The sequence below is a fragment of the Homo sapiens genome, chromosome 4, assembly GCF_000001405.40.
Source record: "Homo sapiens chromosome 4, GRCh38.p14 Primary Assembly".
Lineage (NCBI taxonomy): Eukaryota > Metazoa > Chordata > Mammalia > Primates > Hominidae > Homo > Homo sapiens.
In genome coordinates this window covers 14858582-14882563 of record NC_000004.12, presented here as the reverse complement: position 1 = coordinate 14882563, position 23982 = coordinate 14858582, and the positions used below count along the sequence as shown (strand labels likewise).

General features: G+C 43.1%; 1 long non-coding RNA gene across 1 annotated transcript in view, besides 2 other annotated features; it reads left to right on the top strand.

The window, feature by feature from the left end:
• Positions 1 to 23982, top strand: part of LINC00504 (long intergenic non-protein coding RNA 504) — a 417705-nt gene that overhangs the window by 5606 nt on the left and 388117 nt on the right. Inside the window, exon 2 of the long non-coding RNA NR_126435.1 lies at positions 22948 to 23021. This is a non-coding gene — a long non-coding RNA (long intergenic non-protein coding RNA 504). The remainder of the gene's footprint in view (positions 1 to 22947; positions 23022 to 23982) is intronic.
• Positions 6960 to 7089: an enhancer, noted in NCBI's record as "active region_21334". NCBI's record gives its function as "activates an Ori minimal core promoter by ATAC-STARR-seq in GM12878 lymphoblastoid cells {active_cell/tissue: GM12878}" and the evidence as "EXISTENCE:reporter gene assay evidence [ECO:0000049][PMID:35858748]".
• Positions 7480 to 7529: an enhancer, noted in NCBI's record as "active region_21333". NCBI's record gives its function as "activates an Ori minimal core promoter by ATAC-STARR-seq in GM12878 lymphoblastoid cells {active_cell/tissue: GM12878}" and the evidence as "EXISTENCE:reporter gene assay evidence [ECO:0000049][PMID:35858748]".

The following is a 23982-nucleotide window of genomic DNA, read 5'->3' as shown; positions in this document are numbered from 1 at the left end:
AACCACATTCTCTCACAGGCCAGTAATAATCTCACAGGCTAGTCCTACTCAATTTTCTCTTCTTCTCTGTCTTAAAATGTCGGTTGGCCACAAGTATGACCCCAAATCTCCTTTTTCTCTCTGTCTCACTTTCTGTCTAGGTACGTCCTGTACCTCCAGTCCCATGTCTTCAAATACCATCTATATGCTAATGATATTCAACTTTTTGTCTCTAGTCATAGAGTGAAACCTATATAACCATCTGCTAGGTGACATCTCCACTTACAGATCTAAAATGCATCTCAAACATAACACATTCAAAAGAGAGCCCTTGATTTCCATATTTCCTCTATCCACCCCCAAAATCAGACCTCGCTCATCTGCCCATCTTCCCCGTTGGTAAATACACTACCATATATTCAGTGGCACTTGCAAACGAGTCAGATTTTCTTTCTTCTTATCACCATTCTCTATGCCATGAGCTATTTCTGCCCATTCTATCTCCAAAACTTCTAACTTCTTTCTAATCTGGCCAAGTCACTCTGCCCCTTGGCCATCCTGATCATTCTTTACTGGAATATGTCAATAAACCCCTGTCTGTTCTTCCTGCTTGCATTCTCACTTCCCAGCGGTCCACTGCCCACACAATAAGAAGATAGTCTTTAAAAACGAATGCTAATGAGATCATGGAAATTGGCTGTTTAGAACGCTCCAAAGACTTCCCTGTGAAGAAAATTCAAACGTGAACAGGGTGGACCTCAGGGTTTTCCTCCCTCACCAATCTCACTGCTCTTGCTTCTTTCAACCACCCCCTGACTTTTTATTGCTCCATGCATCTTCCATTCTTGGGGATTTCACAGTTTTTTGTTTCTCTGCCTAGAATATTCTTTTCTCTGGTTTCCCTATGGCTGGCTCCTTCTTGTTTTCTAGGTCTTAGCTTAAATTCCACCTTGTGGAATATCTCTATCATCTCTTGTCTGGGATGACTGTAATCACCCTTGTTTCCCACTCCTCCACACTGCTCAGCAGGTTCAGCAGGATCCGCTCAGTTTAGCATGGTATAACGCCTGCCCAGCCCTCCAATCTCAACTTCACCGGACTGTGTGTCTCACATGTTCGGTTCGCCTCACATAGACAAGCTCTTCCTTTCCTGTACTGTAGAATGCCTCTGAGCCTTTTCCCAGGCTGTTACTTCTGCCTGAAACTGTCTTCCATCTTTTCTTCTGGCTGACTGCTACTCTTCATCTAAGATGCAATTTACCAGGTGTCACCTTCCCTGGAAATGCTTTACTGACCTCTCTCCTTTCCCAAAGTTCTCCCACTGCTTTCTGTGCTTGGCTCCTGAAAGTTCTTGGGAACTGTTTAGTTACATTGTTATCTGTTTTCTATTCTCTCTCCTATATGGCCTTCTTGGGAAGAGAGTCTATGTATGTCTGAGCTTGTATTTATCCACAGCACTGAGTATAGACCTTTACAATATAATAAACGCCCCATAAAGATTTTCTGGCAGGATTCCTGGAAGATGGCAGTAAGCTGACTGTTCTGCTGTGATGGATCATAGTCAGTGTTTTACTCAGCTCCAGAATTCATGAGCTCTGAGTGAAGGCTGACCTCTGGAGACAGAGTGAATAACATGTGCTTTGTGGAGGATCAGGCTGAGAGTGCTCAGTGCTGTCCTGAGCACTGAGTTTTGCATCCTGCAGGAGCCCATGTAGGCCTAGGAAAGGACAGAGCATCAGTGGTAGAGAAGAGTTGGAAGGACAGGAAAGGCTCGAGTCCCCCAGGAATTATTACTGTGTTCAGCCCTGGTATGGCAGCCTCCTTTTCTGTAGCCTGCCTCTAACATGCAGTGGACTCTAACTGGCCATATTTCCATTTAGTGACCCTGCCCACCTGGCCATACCTGGTTGAGACAGGACTAGGCATCCAGCCCCACCTGGGCAATGAAATTCTCCCTCTCCTAGAATTTAATATTTAAATCAGAAAGATACAAAGGCTGGAAGGTGGTGGTACTGGCAGTAGCTAATGGTAGCATACTAGAAATGGGGGCTACAAACTTTTGCTTTTGGAATATTCCCATTTCCTTCCCCTTTCCGAATCATTCTATGAGATATCCCAGTAGCCCTACACACATATAGGGAGGGAGGAGGGAATTAGGATGGGAGTGACTCAGATGCCTTCCGGGGAAAGGAGTGGACCAGTTTTCCAGGAGTGAAGGGTGCAATGAGAAAAGCGCCAGGAGTGGATCTCAGGCTTCCCATTTCAAGCCGAGCAAGTGTCTTCACCCTGTAATAAAATCAAGGGCTCAGAAAATCAGAGCTGGAAAGGATCTTACTCATGAGGATACAACGGCCCAGAAAGGGGACATGACTTGCTGAGGATCCTGCAGTCAGTAATTGGGTCTGGAACCCAGGACTCTCATCTCAGTACTCTTTCTACCATCTCAGTTGTCCCCAGCTCATCTGGGCTCAGCTCCTCTGTCCAGATGGGTTCATTATGCTCCCATTCTCTGTCTTAGTTGGTGGCTCTGGGTGATTTCCTGTTGAGTCCAGTTGCCTGGGGTTAACTCTAGCTGTGCAGTTACTTGGGGAGGGTGTTTACTGAGAGCACCTGCCTACATAAGGACCCAGGTGGCTCATCCCTTAGGATTGTGGGACTGAAAGCCACAATGCGATAATCACATGGAAGGACAGCAGTACGGAGGAACACCGGTCATAATAGCATGACATGATGTGAGTGTGGGGGTGGGACTCTCAGGCTGCGCCACCCACACGCGCCCTGCCAGCACTGCAGCATTCTAGCAGGGCTGCATTCCTGGCCTCAGATGTAACACTTGTTATATTGCTTCCAAATTTGGCTGGATGCAGTAATTGCACTCTTCTTTCCAGTCGACTCAGTCTCCCCAAGGTAGGAGGATGTCTGCTCTCTCTGCACCAAGCAGGATCTTAGGGAAGATGGTCAGTGCTCCTGCATTACTTATATAGTTTGTCTGAGGCCATAGCTTTTAAAGTATGATCTGAAGTTTGCTAGGATCAGAATCTCTTGGTGTGACATTGGTAAAAATGCCAACTATAGGGCCTCTTGCAAGACCTACTGAATCATAATCTCTGTATTATTAATAGACTTTTCAGATGATGAAGGCTGCTGGTCCAACAAGTTCACTGAGGATGGAAAAGGTGATGAGTTTAGGCTGGAGAGATGATGGTTTTCTGTTCCTGCCACACTTCCTAGCTGGGTGATTTGGGGCCTGTCACCCACTCTTCAAGCATCCCTTGAAGAGAAGGAATGTGTCTTATATTTATCTCTACTCAGTGGCTAGAACATAGCTGGTCCTTAACTAGTGTTGAATGAATAAATACATGTACAAGTGAAGATTATAACACATATTATACCTCTTGAAAGAGATAACTCAAGGAAATCACTTGTGCAAACTCCTACACATTGCAGGTGCTCACCAAGTGCAGTTCTCTCCCATTCCCCTTGGGTCAGTGGCTTGTTGTCTGCAGGTAACTTGTTCAGGGATACCGTGAAGTGTGGAGGGGATGGCAGGTGCTCAGGGACCTGGCTGAGACCTAGAGGTGATAAGTGTTCCTGTATTCTCCAAACTCCGTTCTTATTCCACTCCCTGTGGTCCTCAGTCCATTGTCCTGGGAGCCACGAAACCAGTGAAGGTCAGCAGAGGCCAATCACAAAGGAGGGGGTTATGGCTGTCAATGTGGTCAATGTGAGGCTTGGGAGGCCACACCCAGCAGATGCCAAGTCTGCATCCAGAGGCAGAAGAGTCATGGCTGTGATCAGCAGCTAAGGTTAGGGGGCAACACAGAGGGTTAAGTTGGGGATTTGGGGTACTGCATATGAATAAATGAATTCAGGCCTTAGCATTTGTGATACCCTTGGGAAAAGTGTATTCCCCCTAGAGTCAATGATTTTTTTTAATCTATGAAAGGGTCATAAAGAACCTCCTGTATTCATTCTCAGCATTCGTGTGAGAAGGACATGAGTTAAATGAGGATACGATTATTGTCTCTCTCTCTTGCGAGTATATTGTGATGCTTTCTGCTCAAAGTGTGGTCCCAGACCAGCAGCATCAGTGTCACCTGGGAGTCTGTTAGAAATGCAGACTCTCAGGCCCTACCCCAGACCTACTGAATCAGAACCTCATTTTTACATGACACCCAAGTGACTTAAAATTCACATTAAAGTTTCAGAAGTGAAGGCTAAACAATTACAAGGAATTTTTCATTCTCTAAGCACTTTTTTTTTCCCTAGTGAGCGCTTCAAAGAAAGGGAATGTCTTATTTTTCTCTTTTCAATACCTGGAATATAATTGACTATTAACTAATGTCGAATGAATGAATGAAGATCTTAACCTGTATTGTCTTGTTTCTCACCCACTACTGGGGGTTCTTTACCCAGTTGATTTCCTGCTGTAATAGCAGGAGATATACACGGGGATTGCAGCTGCCTCACACTCAGCTGATGCCAGCCACAGATGCAGGCATTTAGCATGTGATTAAGGACAGAGTAATCTACTTAATGTGGGTTGTGGGAGATATTTGGCAAGAACCAAGGGACAGGGGTTGGATTTTACTTTCCAAAGATAATGTTTTTCCCAATTGTTTAAAGCCCTCAGTAACTTGGATCACACCCAGACAGAAATAAGCCTTCTTAAGACAGAATTCTGTAAATAGGACTCTTGCTCACTTTTGCAGCAGAATCTTGACTCTAATAGTCTGCTTAGGTTTTTATGTAACATGGCATGGAGGCCTGCCCAGCCGGATCTTTGTGGAGCTAAGCCCAACTGAACTAACCACCTATAGAGGAGAAATGCTTTTTGTTTACTATATTTTACCATGAGCTAAATTAATTAAAGAATTAATCTATTCCATCACTCAACAAATACTACAGTGCCCGGTTTGAGGTTACCATAGTGAGTACGTCAGCAGTCCCTGCTTCTACCAAGTAATTGCCAGGTGGTGAGGACAGAATAAGAATCAAGCAATTACAGTGAAGTTTGAGGAAGTGCAGACTGACATGGGAGAGCATGGCAGGCAAACTTAGCCTGTAAGGGTGGAGGTGCTGGAGAGACACTTCCTGCAGGAAGTGGCCTGTAGGCTGATACTTGAAGAATGGTTAGGAGTTAGGCAATTGGGGTGGGAGGGAGGAAATGAAGCTGAGACAAAGAATAGCAAGGGCCAAAACCTAGAAACAAGAGACTGTAAGCTATAGCAAAGGAAGTGGGGTAATGCATGTTTTAGGTCCTGTGTGGGGTGTTTGTGAATACACATGCGGGGTGTGGAGCGTGATGAGAGACAAAGCTGAGAAGGTAAGCAGGTGGATCCTCTTGTGAAATTTGCATGTTATCCTAAGGCCAATTGAGGAAGTCTTTGAAAAGTCAGGAGTTCGTAGGGTCTGATAGTTTCCAGTTTGCCTCCCTCATGGACCAGGGGGACCCTTCATTAATCTGGTGAAATATGATGATAGGAAAAGATTCGGTTTTGGTCTGTGTGTCTCACACTGCCCTCTTGCCTCTGGTCTAAGCTTCTTGCTTTGCATCCTATAATGCTAACAATAGAAGAGTCCTAATTTGGCCTTGTACACTTCTTCAAAGAACAGGGAAATACTGTTCTCTTTTTTAACTTTTATTTTAATTTAAGGGGTACATGTGCAGGATGTGCAGGTTTGTAACACAGGTAAATGTGTGTCATGGGGGTTTGTTGTACAGGTTATTTCATCACCCAGGTATTAAGCCTAGTATCCACTCATTATTTTTCCTGATCCTCTCTCTCCTCCTACCCTCTGCCCTCCAGTAGGCCCCAGTGTGCATTGTTCCTCTCTATGTTTCTATGTGTTCTCATCATTTAGCTCCCACTTGTAAGTGAGAACATGCAGTATTTAGTTTTCTGCTCCTGCATTGCTTTGTTAAGGATAATGGCCTCCAGCTCCATCCATGTTCCTGCAAAGTACATGATCTCATTCCTTTTTTATGACTGCATAGTACTCCATGCTATATATGTATCACATTTTCTTTATCCAATCTATCATTGATGGGCATTTAGGTTGATTTCATGTCTTTGTTATTGTGAATAGTGCTGCAATGAACATACAAGTGCATATGTCTTTATAATGGAGCAATTTATATTCATTTGGGTATATACCCAGTAATGGGATTGCTGGGTCAAATGGTAGTTCTTTTTTTAGGTCCTTGAGGAATTGCCACAGTGTCTTCCACTATGGTTGAACTAATTTACACTCCCACAAACTGTGTAAAAGCATTCCTATTTTTCCGCAACCTTGCCAGCCTGTTATTTGTTGACTTTTTAATAATAGCCATTCTGACTTATATGTGATGGTATCTCTTTGTGGTTTTGATTTGAGTTGCTCTAATGATCAGTGACGTTGAACTTTTTTTCATATGATTGTTGGTCGAATGTATATCTTCTTTTGAGAAGTGTCTTTTCATGTCTTTTGCCCTCTTTTGAATGAGGGAAAAATGTTTCTCTGTAGGTTGTCTGTTTACTCTGTTGATAGTTTCTTTTGTTGTGCAGAAGCTCTTTAGTTTAATTAAATCCCATTTGTCAATGTTTGCTTTTATTGCAATAGCTTTTGGCATCTTCATCATGAAATCTCTGCCCATGCCAATGTGCTGAATGGTATTGTCAAGGTTTTCTTCTAGGGTATTGCCTAGGCTTTGGGTTTTGCATTTAGGTCTTTAATTCATCTTGAGCTGACTTTTGTATATGGCATAAGGAAGGGGTTCAGTTATCCCTGCACCATTTATTAAATAGGGAATCCTTTCCTCATTGCTTGTTTTTGTCAGGTTGGTTGAAGATCAGATAGTTGTAGATGTGTGGTTTTATTTCTGTTTTCTCTATTCAGTTTTACTGGTCTATGTGTCTGTTCTTGTAACAGTACCATGCTGTTATGGTTACTGTAGCCCTGTAGGATAGTTTGAAGTTGGGTAGTGTGATGTCTTCAGCTTTGAAGAACAGTGTTTCTCCACCAATATGTCAGCAATTTACCTCTCCTGGTGGCTTTGCTTCCAGTCTCTCTGTTGTGAGGGCTTCCTCTGTGTGGCTTCTTTCCCTGGGTCCCCCAGGCTTTGCATGGCAAGTGGGATTCTGCTGCTTGGAGGCCTCAATGAAATCCACTGCCCTATGGGATCTCACCAGCAGCATCCCCATGGCCACTCCCTGGCAGCAGGAGGTCAGGCCATTTCTGAGTAATCATTTTATACCCATTAATGTACCAGCTACATTCATATATGCTTTCATTACCAGAGCCCTTACTTTGAGCTGTGACTGTTCAAAGATTTTTGAGAGGCCATGTGGTATAGTGGTCAGATCACAGGACTGAGGATCAGAAGAGCTGGTCTGAACTGTGGCCCCTTTCTGCCCTCATTGTGTGCCCTTCTTAAGTCATCAGAATCACAGTTTCAGTTTCCACAGCTGTAAAATGAGGACAAGAGCTCCTGTCTTGTCTTTCTCAGGGTGGTGGTGAGATCAAACAAGATGGTGCATGGGAAAGTACTTTGAAAAATTCTATAAAGGATTGGGCTTTTATTAGCACTGTGGACATCCCGGGTTCAGTTCTTGGCTGCCCATCTTCTTCTGGCACAGCTGAAGGTAGGAACCAGGAGTTATAGCATTTCTCACCTTTTGCAACTCATCACCACCTTCCTGTCTGAGGCTTGCATACTAGGTTTCATTTACCACTGCTCCTGCACTCAATCACTTAATGGGCAACCCAATTGGAGACCATTTGTCCAAATGTAAATGTTAATCTATAATTGTGGAGACCAAAATAGTCCAAATAATTTTTGGTGACACAATCCACTTTGAAACATTTTCTTTCTGGTGGACCTATGGAGAGCAAACACACCCAGCATGCTTCCCTCGTAAGTAATTATCTATTCAAACTGCTTGCTGGCATTTTTTGAAATGTTAATGGAACATTAAATTCCAGTTTATTTCAGAACCCCTGTTTCTGCTAAAAAAGTTTCTCAGGGAAATTTTTAAAATGACAGCTAGACAGACAAATAAAACACAAGAGCAAGCTATTATCTTTATCCAAGTAATTCCCTTCTAAAATACAAAAAACAGACAGGCATGGTGGCTCATGTCTCTTATCCCAGCACTTTAGGAGGCCAAGGCAGGCAGATTACTTGAGCCCAGGAGTTCCAGAACAAGCTGGGCGAGTTGGCGAAACCCTGTCTCTACAAAAAATACAAAAATTATGCAGGCATGGTGGTGCATGCCTGTAGTACCAGTTACTTGGGAGGCTGAGGTGGGAGGATCACCTGAGCCTTGGGGAGGTTGAGGCTTGCAGTGAGCCATGATTGTGCCACTGCACTCTAGCCAGGGCAACAAAGCAAGAAGCAAGATGATGTATAAAAAAGAAAGAAGGAAAAAAATACAAAACACAGACATTATAGCACAAAGGGGGAGATTAAAGTTTTAAAGCATAGTCACAAAAATGGAATTTAGAGATTTTCAGAAACTCGTAGTATTTTTTTTTCTTCCCCAGATGGAGTCTTGCTCTGTCACCCAGGCTAGAGTGCAGTGGCCTGATCTCGGCTCACTGCAACCTCTGCCCCCCAGGTTTAAGCAATTCTCCTGCTCAGCTTCCCGAGTAGCTGGAATTACAGGTGCATGCCACAAAGCCTGGCTGAATTTTGTATTTTTAGTAGAGATGGGGTTTCACTATGTTGGCCAGGCTGGTCTCGAACTCCTGACCTCGCAATCCACCTGCCTCGGCCTCCCAGAGTGCTGGGATTGTAGGTGTGAACCACCATGCCCAGCCAACTCATAGTATTTCATCTCTGAGAAGCATTCTCCCTATTTCATCTTTGGGTGCATTATACATGCTGAGAATTCCCGTCCTGGGGACAATGGGCTATATTAGAATATCCAGCCATTTCTTTCTGGGTTATCTTTAAGATAGCAGAGAGGATCCTTCAGGAAAGAGGAAGCCTTCACTGGCTGCATCCTCCCTGAAGCCTTCTTGGAGCCTCCTCCCCATGAGAGGCAGACAGTACTATTTTCTCTTTGCTTCCAAGTAGTGCCCATTTCTTTTCCATTATTCTTCACTCATTTATACAGTACTTAGTTTTTTCATCTGTGTCAATGGACCATGGGCTCCCCAAGGACAGGGACTAGGTCTTACTCACTTTGGCGCATCTAATGACTATTTGTAGGTAGAAGGCATGAAATAAATCATCCAGGGTCATCATCTCAAACCCTCATCAGCCCTCACCAGTATGACTGCAACAGCCTCCTAACTGGTTTTTCTGACGTTCGTTTGTCCTATCTCTGGAACCATGCTCCCCTAACAGCCAAGGAAGGCTTTAAGGTAAAAATCAGATTAGTCTTTCCGTTGCTTAATATCTTCTGATGCCCACTCTTGTCCTCACGATCAGTCCCAACTTCTTAGCATTGGCTCAGGGGGCCTTTTGTCATCTTGATCTGGCTTAGCTCTCCAGCCTCATCTCTGTCTATTCTCCCCTCAGCTGAAGTTCCAGCCACCAGCAAACTACCATATTTCCCTAAATACATCCTACCTTCTCACATAATAATAGTAACTGATATTATAGAGCACTTGCTATGCTGTATACTTTATAATGGCTCTGTCTGCATCATTAGTAAACCTCACACAGCCCTATATCATCGTCATTATTATTATGATACCCCTTTTACAGCTGAGAAAACTGAGATTTGGTAAAGAAAGGAAACTGCTTCAGGCCAGAAAGTTAAAGGCAGCTAAAAGTTATAAACAGGTCTGTGACTGACTCCAGAGTCTGTGATTTTGTCTACCACTTTTCACTGAGGAAGACGTGATTTTCTTGCTTAAGGAAATTTCATCTAGCTGAGAAGATGTGACTCTACCCAAATAGAGGGAAGTCACTGTATAAGAGTAACCCCAATGTCATGCTGAGAAGTGGGAGCTATTTCTGGGGGACAGTCTGAGAGATGATGATGATCTTCTAGCACAGAGGTGGTCTAATTTCAGTGTTGGCTGGATGGGAAAAATAAAAGTGAGTTGAAAGTAAGCAGGGAGAAGGGGCAAGTCTGGACCGCCCAATAAGGATACTTTTGCAAGAGTTCTGACATGAGAAAAAAGTGGAGGCTGTGCAATTGCAAAGCAAAGGACTGGTCCCACAGGCATTTAAAACCACCTTGGGCTATAATTTGCTCTTTAATGAAACTGCTGATCCTGCTGTTATTCATGTCTGAGGACCTCAGGGGCATTTCAGAGACACCCCCTGGTGGCCATTTGCCCTGTGTGTGGCACTTAAAGAGCCCTCAGTGAGGGTTCAGGAGCCCCAGGTAGGCTTGACTCCTGGTGGAATAGCCTTAGGCAGCTCATTGAAGCATCGTGGGTGATTGCCACGTCTGTCATGCCAGGTGATCTGCTCATTGTATCCACCAATCAAATTGGAGTTTTGGCTTAGAAATACTCTTTCAGGACTTGGGAATGCTCACCATGCATCAAGAGCTGTGAGTAACAGTGGGGTCAGATCTCGCTCCTCCTCTCCCTCAGGATGACACACCCAGTGAGACTGTCACTAATCAATGCTTCTGCAGTGTAAAACAGTGTGTGTGTGTGTGTTATTATTAAAGACCTCGCTTAAAAGCATGGAGGAGAGACAAGGGCATTCTGACGAGCATCCTAGCATCGTAGCCAAAGTGGAGGTGTGTCAGTTACATAAAAGCCCTGATAGGGCCCCCTCAGTGCTGATCTGAGTCCTGTGCAAACTCAACCTGTCAAAAACAAGCCAGAGGCCTCCAGAACCTTCAGCCAGGAAGAAAGGGAATTAGGATTCAGTCAAAGGGGACCTTAGTAAGAGCACAAAGCAGACACAGAGTAGGACTTAACTATATCCAGTCAAAATCAGTCTGAGAAAATTGATTCTTTTTTTAACATTTATTCATTCACTTTGCATTTTATAAGCACCCACTTATTATGTGGGTTTACTTGACTGTTGAATTGAACAGATTTTAGGCTCCACATGGAGAAGAAACCCATCTTGTTCATCACCCTGTCATCAGGGCTACAGTTGACAGTGGTGGACGCTCACATGAATGTCCCGGGGCTGGACTCCAGCCTCTGCTCTTGCTTACTAGGGCTGCTTTAACCTGGAGGAAGAGCCAGAATAAATGACGACTTCTTCCCATAAACACAAGGTACTGTCTGTTTGCTCATCTGCATACCTTAAGAACTATGTGCTCCTAGAAGGAGCATTTTTTTCAAATTGGTTGGCTCTGAAAAGGAGTTTTCTGATTAGCACAAACATGTTCTTTATGCCAGAAGTGGCCATAGGTATTATGGGCCTAATGTTTTGCTACTCTAGTGCTGTACTTTTTTCAGGCAACATTTATTTGGCACTAACTGTGTACCAGGCATGATGTTCAGTTGTCCCCAGGTGTTCAGTCCTGCCTCATCACACAAATATGAATAAGGTAAAATACTGATTTTCAGTCCTGTAGGGAGACAGGCATATAACTAAGCAGTTTAAGGTAAGTTATGACAAATACGCATGCACAGAAAGTATGGGTACTTCCTATAGTCCGGGTAGTGATGGAAAACTTCCAAAAAGTGACTTCTGGTTAGGTTTGGAAGACTGAGTAGGGTTTAGCCAGGAGGAGAAGCGTGGGGATGTGTTGCAGCCCAAGAACGGAGATGTGAGTAGACATAATGAATGTGGGCAAACTGCAAGTTTCATAGGTCTGATAGGAACCAGAATGTATAATTTTTTAGACTCAAGTCAGATAAGTCCTTCTCCAGGAAGTCTTCCTGAATCCCTAGAGAAGGAGGGATTTATTGTCTTTTATTACTGCCTCTGGACCTATTATCAGCTTCTATTATTGTATATGCCACATAGCACTGCAAACATTTATAATACGTGCATTTCCCTGATAGACTGGGAGCTTGTTGAGATCAGAGGGCTAGTGTCTTTTTCATCTTTGTTTAGTAAATTGCACACTCCCTAGAACAGAGTAGGTGCTTACTGCACATTTGCTGAAATAAATTCATATATGGAGAATATGAAGAAGGTGTTCTCCCTCCCAGAGTCGAGTTGAGGGACAGATTTTCTCTATATTCATTACATTTAGGGGGCCTCCAAAATCTTTCTTGGATTTTTTAATGTAGATATTTCTACCTAATCATAGAAACATATACATACATGCACATGTGTGTCTTAGATATATGCTGGAAGAATTTATATCCAATTTATCAGTGACTTTTTCTGGGGAGAGTGGTGGGAGGTGGGCAGTGGGGGACTGTTTTAGGACCACTGGATGTGACTGTTTACAATGTGCACCCTACAATTCAAGAAGGCCATTCATTTAGGAGTGAGTCTGTACTTTATAAATTTAAACAACAAAAAATAAGCATAAAGGAAAAAGTCATGAGACTGTCAGTTATTTTTCACTTTCTTTTCAGGGTTTTTCTGTATTTCTCCAAAATATCCAAATATGTATAGGCCTGGCTTTTATATTAAAAAACTGTTAAAGTTAGTAAATAGTGGACAATTTGAGAAATATTAAAAAGCATAAAGGAGAAAATAAAAATGACCCACATTTTACCAGCCCCTAAATCTACAATTAACATTTTACTTAATAAAGTTTGTTTAATTTTTTGACTTAAAATATTTTTTCTTTGAGTAGTTTTGGATAATACAGAAATATACAAATAAAAAAATTCATTTCATCACTCGCAGATGACCCACTGTTAACACTTTGTGCATTTTCTTGCAGGCTTTTTCCATATTAGTTACAATCATAGCTCCCATTTGGGGAGTGTTTAATTTGAGCCAGGCAATGTGCTAAGTGCTTGCCAGACCTCTCATTTAATTCCCACATAAGCCTGTGAGGTGGAAATTCTCAGCCCCACCTCAAAGAAGATACAAACTAAACGTTAAGAAACTTGGATCAGCTGTGATGTGAACCTAATGTTGTCTGACTCTCAAGCTAATATTCTTAATGATTCCACTTTACTCCTTCATAGTTGTGTGTGTGGTTACTTGCACATGTGCACACACACACTTGCTGTACACACAGACACACACAAGCTATGGTCACATTGTGCCTTCCACTTAGTCATTTTTTTTTTTTTGGTATTACATGGTGTGCATCTTATGAGGTCATGTAAAAATACTTTTAGAAATGTTTGGCAATTTTTAAAAGTTGCATTCTAAGCAAATCAGTCTTGACTCAGTTTTCCATTGACTGCTGGCCTTTGCCATCAGGCCTCCAGACATGCTACATATCCAGTCCTCCTGGCTTTTTACTCTATTCCTGCTTCCTCCTCAAACTGGGAGTAGGAAAAGCTGGGCAAGCTTTACTCATTTGTACTCAGAAGCTGTCAGGAAACTAACTGCCAAAATGCCTGCATTTGATGGCAGTACCTCATATGGGCATTGCTCTGAAGTCTCAAAGCCTTTCTTTCCAGTGTGTGTGCATGTGCGTGTGTGTGTTTCATGTGAATAACTTTGGCTGGCTGAGAAGGCATTTTCAAAATGGAGAAATTAATAGACAGGTTAAGCAATCAGGATAGTATAAAATACTCAGCAAGGATTGCAACAAACATTAAGGGCATAGAGCACAAAACTTTTAGTAGACTGCAAACTGTTCACAAAAAAGTGGAAGAGATCACTGTGGGTTTTCTCAGCTCTGATATGCTAATCATGTGTATTGTGAATTCCCAGGGGGACCCAGAGTACCTAGTGCTTCCCAAACTTACTTGACTAAGAACCTACTGGAGCGCAGGCAGCTTTCTTGGATAACTAGCGTTCCGAAGTACACAGTTTGAGAAATACTAATCTGTAGGTTTTCTATATAATATTAATTCACTAATTTAATTTTATTCAGTAGTGAATTAGGTCCTGGCTACTCAAAGTATGGTCTGTGGACCAGTGGTGTTTGCTTCCTCTAGGAGCTCCTTAGAAATACTGAAACTGTGTTCTACCTCACCTGTCTTTCCCCACATAGACAGATTTAGAACCTGCATCTTAATAAGATTGACAGTCATTTACAGGCATAGTAAAGTTAGAGACAGACACACTGCTGATAAGGAAACAAAAGTTGTTAATATAGAAGTCACATAGAGTTCAATTTCATAAAGTGTGTTTCATACATGTATTTAAGGTAATGTACAATAAACACAGGAAGTGAGAAAGGTATTTGGACACTGCTTTCTCAAAATGCTGGCCATTTCTTCTGAGGGTATATTCTGGTGTCGGCTCAACAAGGACCTCAAACAACTGTGAGCCCACAGCTTTCTCTGAGTCCTTTTTCTTGTCCTTTTTAGGAGAGGGTGCAGTCCCATAGCATGTCCACATTTGGAACCGACCGGTATGAGATGCAGCCACATCCCATCAGCTAATAGCACTAGGTGGCGAGGCCCCTGGAGAGGGGTTTCAGCTGGGAACACACAGCTAAAGCCCCTTTAATTGCCCAGTCAGCTGTCAGGGCTGTAAACACATTTCTTCCCATTCAGAGCCGTTTGCCCCTCTCTGTGACCTCTCATGGCTCTCAGACCCTAGCCACGTGGCCCAGATGGCATAATCTGTCAGGCCAAAGCAGGTGATAGTAGGGCTTGCCGTTAGGTAATCAGTGACTATAATTAGCTGGGGTGAAGGGATAATGGGACCAACTGCAGGGCTGTGGGGAGGGGGCGGGGGCCAGGGGAAGCCCTGGATGGATGGGAGGGAGCACAGTAGGAGGGAGGCTTGCTGCCTTCCCTCCTTATTTCTCCTTTCCCCTTCCACCTTCTCCCTCTAGTATTATGTTTTCTAGCACATGGAGTATGTGTGTGCTGGGGGCTTCATCCTCAATGGGGAAGGTCAGGGTTGAGCACTGGCAATTCAGTAAGTGAGTTGTCTCGCAGCCCTGATCAATTTTATTTCACAGAAGCTGTTCCAGAAATCTATGGTGCTTTGGTAATTAGTTGGCTACAAGGACCTTGTGGGAGCAAGGATCGGGGTGGGGGTGGTGTGCTGTAGAGGTTTAGAACTTGATTCTGGGGAGTCAGACACACTGGCATTCAGATCCTGGCTCTGCCATCAGCAGCCAGGTGAGCTCAGGCTGGCGTAGCAGCCTCTCTGTGTCTCTGACAATAATAGGTCCCAATGCTCAACTTCTGGGCATGTTGTCAGTGCCAAGTAAACATGGCCATCAACACTGCCTGAAACATGCCTAATCTATAGCAGATGCTCTGAAAATATCATTTTATTTCTCCTTTCTTTCTTGATAGGAATGATTTTGTAATATGATGTCAATGATATGGAAATAACCAACCAAAAAATTGCTGTTCACAGATCTTAGAGGGTGTCTTTGATAACAGGTGAAGCTCGGTTATGTTTATCAAAAAGAGGTTGGCAGGTGGCTGGGTGCACTGGCTCACACCTGCTATCCCAGCACTTTGGGAAGCCGAGGCAGGTGGATTGCTTGAGGTCAGCAGTTCAAGACCAGCCTGACCGACATGATGAAACCCCACCTCTACTAAAAATACAAAAATTAGCTGGGCATGGTGGCACGTGCCTGTAGTCCCAGCAACTCTGGAGGCTGAGGCAAGAGAATTGCTTGAACCCGGGGACGGAGGTTGCCGTGAGCTGAGATCTCACCACTGCACTCCAGCCTGGGCAACAAAGCAAGACTCTGTCTCAAAGTCTCAAAAAAAAAAAAAAAAAAAAAGGTTGACAGATGAAGTTGGCTTTGTTTGTAACTTTTATCAGGAGAACTGTCTATTCATTTTCTAAATCCAAGTGAAAGAGATAGGGCAGTCTACGAGTAAACATTGAAGCCTTGTGTATTTGTCCTGTGGCCACAGATGATGGTTTTCCTGGAACAGAACATGCATTGTGGAGCACACTGTACACATTGTTGAAGCTTGTCCACTTCTGTTTTGTTGAAGGTCTAAACTTATCCTCTCATCTATCCTCTCCTCTTCCTAGAATTGTTTTCTCCTTTTTCCCCCTCCCTTAATAAAATATATATATAATAAATAGCTGTAAGCAACTTATATATCCAACTATGAATATATATATCTATATATATATCCTATATATCTCTCTCTCTATATATATATCCTATATATATATCTCTCTATATATATATCCTATATATATATCCCTAGAGATGAAAAAAAGAAACAAAAACCACCTATAATTTCAGAAATAACCAGTTAACACTTTTGTTTATATTCTACATCCATCTGGACACAGATATTACTTTTTCATCAAAATGAGTCTTACTTGCTCACTTGGTACATGTTCCCCCCCTTAATATATTCAATCTTATTCTATGTCAATAGGTACATTTCTATAACATCATTTAAATTTTATTTGTATAATAGTTTGTTGACTCTTAATGGGCAGAATTATACCAATCTTTTTTTCCTAACTTTTTTCTCAATTGAGATAATTCACATACCATAAAATTCACCCCTTTAAAGTGTACAGTTCAGTAGTTTTTAGTGTTTCCACAAGGTTGTGTAATTCTGTTACTGAATTTCAGAACATTTCTTATCCATTTGAGGTCACTCCCTATTCCCTGCCTCCTCCAACCCTTAGTTAATGGTAACTAGAGTACTGTTAAGATGCCATGAGCTATTGAGTCAGCTCTTCATAGTTGGATATGTAAGTTGCTTACAGCTATTTATTATTTCAAACAATACTATAATGATCAGTCTATACAACTGTGGTCCAATTAGGTTATATTTTTGAGCTGTCAAGGTTAATACACACATGTTGTTTAAATCTGAAAAGGAGTGTTACATTTGGGATCATGCGGTTTTGGGACAATTGAGAATTAAATCTCTAAATCTGCAGAATGTTAAACGTTGGAGATTTCCCAAGGAAAACTCAAAAAGACTTAAGCGATAACAAAAGCGGTCATTGCAAAATTGCTTTTGCAAATACTACCTGTGGAGTTTGCCAGATGTTTGAAGTTATGAAATTATACTACTCTGCAGTTTTGCAGTAGAGGTTAATTCCTCACCGCACCCCTTGAGTGACAGTCAAAATTGGGTTTTGTGTCCCCCTGAACAGCATGAGGACCTGGTAGAGAGAGGCGTGTGAGGTGGAACCAATTCTGTTTATAATTTTTAGGACTGATTTTGAAAGTTTGACTTAAAAAAATAGATCTTAATCTGATATAAAAAATCTGGTAATTATATTTAAAATCCCTGTATACCTTTGCACACACAGACTGTATTTAAACATTCATTCCAATAATAATTATTATAATACTTCACATGATTGGAGAGTTATGAGACAATGAGGCCCAGGTGTTATGTATGCTAAGTGTTTCGTATTCATTATGTCATTCCACAGCCTTGCAAAATCATCTATTAGATTGTTTAAAAAATGGATGTCATAAGTTTACACAAAGTAAATGATGGTCAAGTAACAAGCTACTCGTGGTGTCGGTCTGGCACGTCCATTGTTCCTTAGTCATTTATTCCTTCCCAGTGCCTAACTCACCACCTGCAGTCTGCACCACCCCATCTCTATCTTTACCTGAGAACCACACGAGAAATGGGCAGGGCTGGGCCTTAGTGGAGAGAACAAGGTTTGAATCTTTGTCCTAATACTTCCATGCCACTTTGGGCAAGTTACTTGGTGACTCTGTGGCTCAGTTTCTCCATCTGTGCAATGAAGATAAGAGTATCTACTTTATGCATTTGTGGTGTCAGCTAAAGAATTCTATGACATGAAGCTAAGAAGTGTGTAAGCACTCACTTGCTGTGGCAGGGTTGATCCAGCCTTGAGGTAACAGCACCAAACCTGTCCCCAGAGATAGTTACAGAAGAGATCTCAGTGATCAGCCATCTCCCCCCATCCTTTTACATTTGGGAAACCCGGAGGCTCCAGAGAGGAAGTGACTCTCAAAAATTGCATTGCTTGTCAGCAGCAGAATCTTTCTAATGATTCTCTAAAGTGATCTGCTTGGTTCCTGTTTGAGTTCCTCTAAAGCAAAGACTGTAGTGGCTTTATAAGCGTCTAAGAGCAGTGCTCTATTTCTGTACTCTTGCTCCCAGGGTTCCCTTATTTAGTCTTTGCTCTAATACACAGCTCAGGGGTTACTGGACTCCCTTGCATTGTCCCAGCGCTGGGATTGACTGTGTGTTTAATCCCCACTGACAACCAGGCACTGTGCCCTCAGTACATTCTAACAAATGCCCTGTGAGAGAAACCAACATTTAGTCATTTTGCAGATGTGGAAACAGAGGCAGAAATAAGAAGCTGTGCCCAAGGTCACCCAGATACGAAATGAAGAGAACTTAGAAAAATTGCATCGTGTTCAAAAGCTCTGACCTTGGCAAGTTTCTTAGCCCATTTGTCTCCTTGCTTTCTGTAAAATGGAGTAATAAGAGTATCTGCCCTAAAAGGAGGTGTAAGGATTATTAATGCCTGTAAAGTGCTTGGAAGAATGCCTGGCACATAGTATGAGCTTGATAAATGTCAGCCTTAAACACAACAAATGAGACCAAACTGCTTCTAAAGCTTGTATCCTTTCTGCAACTCCCTGACGCCTCACAAGGAATCAGGGAATTGAATTCACACTTAGAAACTCGGAGCAAGATTAAAGATTGCAAGGCGTTGGAAAGTGTGGCCTAGTTAGAAAGCACACTCACTCACATACACACACACATAGCTACTTTTAATAGCTGGTAAGAGCCAGAGAAAATCCAATTACAGATGAGTCAATCGATTACAAAGAAAGAGGGCAGAATAAAGGAAAGAATGTTGGAGAGACACAGAACCAAATTACAACCAGATAATAGAATTAAGGGTCTGTCGAACAAACTGGGAGAAATAACAAAGGGATACAGGCTGGAGACGCTTTCACAGCTTAGTAATGATTTGATTCTTTCTGAGCCCCTAGACTCCAAAGAGCGGTTATAGGGCCAACGCCCCAAACAAGTGGGTGGATCAGAAAGAACCGGAATTGTGTTTGGCAAATCATATTTTGTGAAGAAATGAACCACGTGTGGCCTGGGGAAGAAGAGGATTGTGTTTGGGTTAAACAGATGCTCCTAGTTAAGGGTGAGAGTCGCGGGCCAGATACAAGGCAACTTTGATTAGCGAAGGTATAGCCTTGCTCCAAAATGTTGTTTGCTAAGACATTCTTCCTTCGTTTTAAAAGAAACATCTCATTGTTAAATAGGATTACTCACTTGCATATACCCAAGCCAAATCAAAACACATGCTTTTAATTTTATTTTCCATTTTGGGGGGACAGCAAGGTGGGGCTGTTAATTTCAGCACCAACCTCTACAGCTGTGTCTATTATTGGTGGGCTCTAGAATAACATCCGTTTCTATGTATTTATGGAAAGGCGTCCTTAACTAGGCCACATAAAGAGCGAGCGCATCTATAAATAAATTAAGGAGGCTGCAAGGCGCGGGTGGCTGCCCCTCTGCTACGGCCTCGCAGGCCCTGCCACGCAGCTGTCGTCTTTGTACCCGGCTTTGCGCACTCCATTGTGGACGCGATTACCCCGGCCTGGGGCGGCGCGTGCGGGGGCGGGGCGCACCTTCCCCGCCGGCGGCTGCAGATTGGCTCCAGGGGCGAGGCTGGACTTCTTCGCGACTCGGGCTGGCCTTGCTGGGCTGCGAGGTTCTGGCCTGTGACTTGGCCGGCGCAGGTGACCTGACGGCGGTCACTTCCTGGGAGCCAGCTGCACCCACCCGCGCTCAGGCTGAGCTGGGCTAACAGATGATGGCGTTGGGGGTGGGCGTTGGGTGGGGCAGGGGGAGGACAGTACAAAACGACAAGAATAAGAAAATGACTGAATAGACAAGATTAAACAGGTCAAAGCTGGGGTAGGGAGGATAAGGATGAGGGAAACTTCTTCCAAAGCTTGAGAGCCCAATCCTTTCTTTCCACCTTAGGATGGGTGCCCCTCCTGGGCTCCTCCTCCGGGACAGGCATGAAGGATCTGAGTTCTACTTGCAAGTGGAGATTAAAAAGAATAAAGGCAGTTCTTTTCACTAGAGAAATGGAGCAAAGAGCTTCTATTTGCTTGGCAATCATTTCTGGGTTTTGTAGGAATCTTGTCTTGAAAAGGATCTCGTTGTGGTCCCTGGACCTGCTCCAACAGTATCTCCAGTTCAAAAAGCAGACTCAGGGCCCGCAGAGCCACCGAGTCAGAACCTGCTGTTTTCTAGGATCTCCTGGAGGTTCCTGGGTACACTCCATTTGAAAAAGCTCTGGTCAACAGCACTGATTCTTAACCCTGGCTGAAGTTATGGGTTGAATTGTGTTCTTCAAAATGATGTTGAAGTCCCAGTCCACAGAACCTGTGAATGTGACCTTATCTGAAAATAGGGTCTTTACAGCTGATCAAGTTAAGATGAGGCCGTTAGAATGGATGGACCCAAATCCAACGTGACTGTGTTCATATAAAAAGAGGAAATTGAGACACAGAGACAGACATGAACACAAGGAGAATCTAATATGAAGATGAAGGCAGAGATCAGGGTAATGCATCTTCAAGACAAGGAGAGCCAAAGACTGATGGGAACCACCAGGTCCTAGGAGGGAGCCGTGGAACAGATTTTCCCTTATGGCTTTCAGAAGGAACCAACTCTATCTACACTTTGGTCTCCCACTTCTAGCTTCCAGAACCATAAGACAACACATTTCTGTTGTTTAAACCGCCTTGTTTGTGATACTTTGTTACAACAGCACTAGCAAACCAATACACCTGGGTACTCCTAAGAATAACCCAGGTTTCTGAGCTCCATCTGAAATGTTTGCAATCAGAATACCCAGGAGTGGGGCCAATGGAACTGCATTTTCTAAATATCCCTTGGGTGATTCTAAGTTAGTTGGGAGATTGGGAACTGGTGAGCCCATCTCCCTTCCTTTACAGTGTGGTGGAGAAGGAAGAGAGAGCTGAGGCAGACGATGAAAGATCTGCTCTTACTTCTTGCTGTGTTACCTTGGGTAAGTCATAGCCTCTCTGAGCCTATCCAGTGCTTGCTTCAGCCTTACAGTGTTCTCCCTAAATCCAGATGCTTGCATTCACCAGCCTCTTGGGAAACTTCTAGTGATGGGGACTCATCACCTGATGGGGCATTCCAATCTATCATGGAAATTTTGAACTGCTTAGAGAAATCTTTAAATAAAGTCAAAATCCGCTATGATTATCTCCATTATAAAGATGAGGAAACTGATGCCCTGAGAGATTAAGTAACTTGCCCAAGGCCATACAGTCAGTTTGGGGCCAACTGTGGATTGAATGCAGGCAGCTGCCACAATCTATCCTGCTGACCACTTGTAATACCCAGACTGACAAAAGTTTACAAAGGGCTATCACATTAGTAGCTCAAACAAGACTCCTGCCAGCTCTGAGAGACAGAGACCCAGAATCCATCTCTGACTCTCAAACCTGGATTGTGTGGATGGCGGTATAAGGCTGGGGGAGGCATCCTGTGAACCGTCTAGGCCCCTGGGCATGGAACTTGCCATGTGTGCAATCTAGAACCTGAATGAGTTAGATGGGGAGGCCAGGGTATGAATTTGATTCTTGTGTCAGGGCCTGCTCCTGACCCCAACTCCCTCAGTGACCTGGGGCAGCTTTGCCTTGCTCTGTGGTCCTCAGTGTTCACACCTGTGAGACGAGGCTAATAGACTCTACCTTTCCTACCTTGTAGCAGTCTTGAGGGGCTCCAGTGAGATCGCAGACAGGAATATGCCTTGTGAGTCACAAATATGATGGTTACTACAGCTTCGCCTGAGAAGAGAACTTAGCTATTTCCATGAAAAGACCTCTCCTCACTAGGGCAACTCTGGCAATTGCTCCTCCTCACCAGCCATTTTATTTCTGCTCATTTTCTACCAAGCCATTTCCTTCCAAGCTTGGGCAGAAGTGGGGTTTGGAGAAGGGGATTAGTCAGGGGTGAGGTCTTATAGGAAGCAGTAAGTTCAATAATATACTGCCCCTCTTCCAGGACACACCCCTTAATAGGCTTGATCTCCCAAATCAAAGACAGTGTGCCCCGCTCCCTTCCAATAGATTATACCTGAGCTACATTTTCTTTTTTCTTTTCTTTTTTTCTTTTAAGTTCCAGGATGCATGTGCAGGACATGTACGTTTGTTACATAGGTAAACATGTGCTATGGTGACTTGCTGCACATATCAACGCATCACCTAGGTATTAAGCCCCACATGCATTAGCTATTTATCCTGATGTTCTCCCTCCCCCTACACCCCCCAGAGGCCCCAGTGTTTGTTGTTCCCCTCTCTGTGTCCCTGTGTTCTCATTGTTCAGCTCCCACTTACAAGTGAGAACGTGCGGTATTTGGTTTTCTGTTCCTGCATTAGTTAGCTGAGGATAATGGCTTTCAGCTCCATCTATGTCCCTGCAAAGGACGTGATCTCATTCCTTTTTATGGATGCATGGTATTCCATGGTGTATATGTACCACATTTTCTTTTTTTTTATTATTATACTCTAAGTTCTAGGGTACATGTGCACAACGTGCAGGTCTGTTACATATCTATACATGTGCCGTGTTGGTTTGCTGCACCCAGTAACTCATCATTTACATTAGGTGTTTGAAATACCTGAGCTGCATTTTCTAAGGGTGGGTCTGTTTGTTCCTCCTTTCCCTTAGAAATCTAAATGCCCCTTCATCTCCTCCCCACCTCCATACACCTCCACTAATGGGCAGGACCTGGTTCACTCATCAGAGTCTAAAATTCCCAATAGTATTATAATTCCCAACCCCTATTTTCTCATTGATGTTTTTTATTCATTCATTCCTCCAATATTCCCTTGGTGTTTACTCTGTCCCAGATGCTGTGTGGGTACTAGGAATATCAAGTGGATTAAGATGAGCTCCTTGCTCTGGGAACTTACAAGCAATCTAGTGTTAAAGCTGCACATAATTCATATTGGCTCTCAAGGCTGTCTTTGCTTACAGACGTCACAATAAACCTTCTTTCCTTTGCAGTGTGGTGGAAAAGGAAGAGAGAGCTGAGGCAGACGATGTAAGATCTGCTGTTACTTCTTGCTGTGTGACCTTGGGTAAGTCATAGTCTCTCTGAGCCTACATATTTATCTCCAAAATTAGATCAGCAATAAAGATATGAGATTCAGTGAGAGTTTACTATGAGCCAGCCATTATTCTAAGTGCTTTACTTATGTCAACAGTTAACAACTTTAGGAGGTAAATGTTAATGCCTCTATTTTACAGATGAAGCAACTGAGACACAGAGAAGTTAATTAATTTATCAGGAATCACAAAACTAATTGCTTGCAGTACCAAGAGTCAAGCCTAGGCTATCTGCTCCAGAACCCAGGTCCCTAACCCTTTGTATTAACCTGCTTCCGTAAGCTGCCCATTATTCCAGTTTACCTTAGGGGGTCTGTGAACAGACATAACTACTCTAATGAATGCATGAAGAAGGGGGAGGAGGTAGAGGAGGAGGAGGAGCCAGAAAGAGAAGGAGAAACAATTCCTTCTTTGGTAAAGAAGTCTTAAATTTCTGATAGGGTCTTAACTTTTTCTCAAATTTTTTTTTTTATTTAGTTGCACATACAGCATAAGTCTTCTATAATAGGGAAAAATAAGAGGGAGATGTAGAGGAAATAAAAAGGATGAAGTTTTTCCCATTTTAGGAACTTTGGGAAAAAAGCATTGAGTGTGCAGGTTGTGTACCAGACATCGTGCTGGATACTCTCGTATGAATAATCTATTATCTATCAATCAATTGAGTGATGATATAATCCTACACACTACAGAGGTATTAATATCCCAGTTTTACAGATGAGGACATGGAGGCCTAGAGAGGTGACATGCCTTAGTCAGAGATGATTAGTGGCAGAGCCTGGATTTTACCCAAGGAAAGTCTGATTGCCAAGCCAATGTTCTTATATCTCTCTTAGTTCTTGGACAGACAGGAATTAGCAAAGGTCCTGTGTAGTTGAAATTCAGTCTTCTCTCTCCTTCCTTCCTTCATTTATTAGTAATTTTCAGAGCAATTTC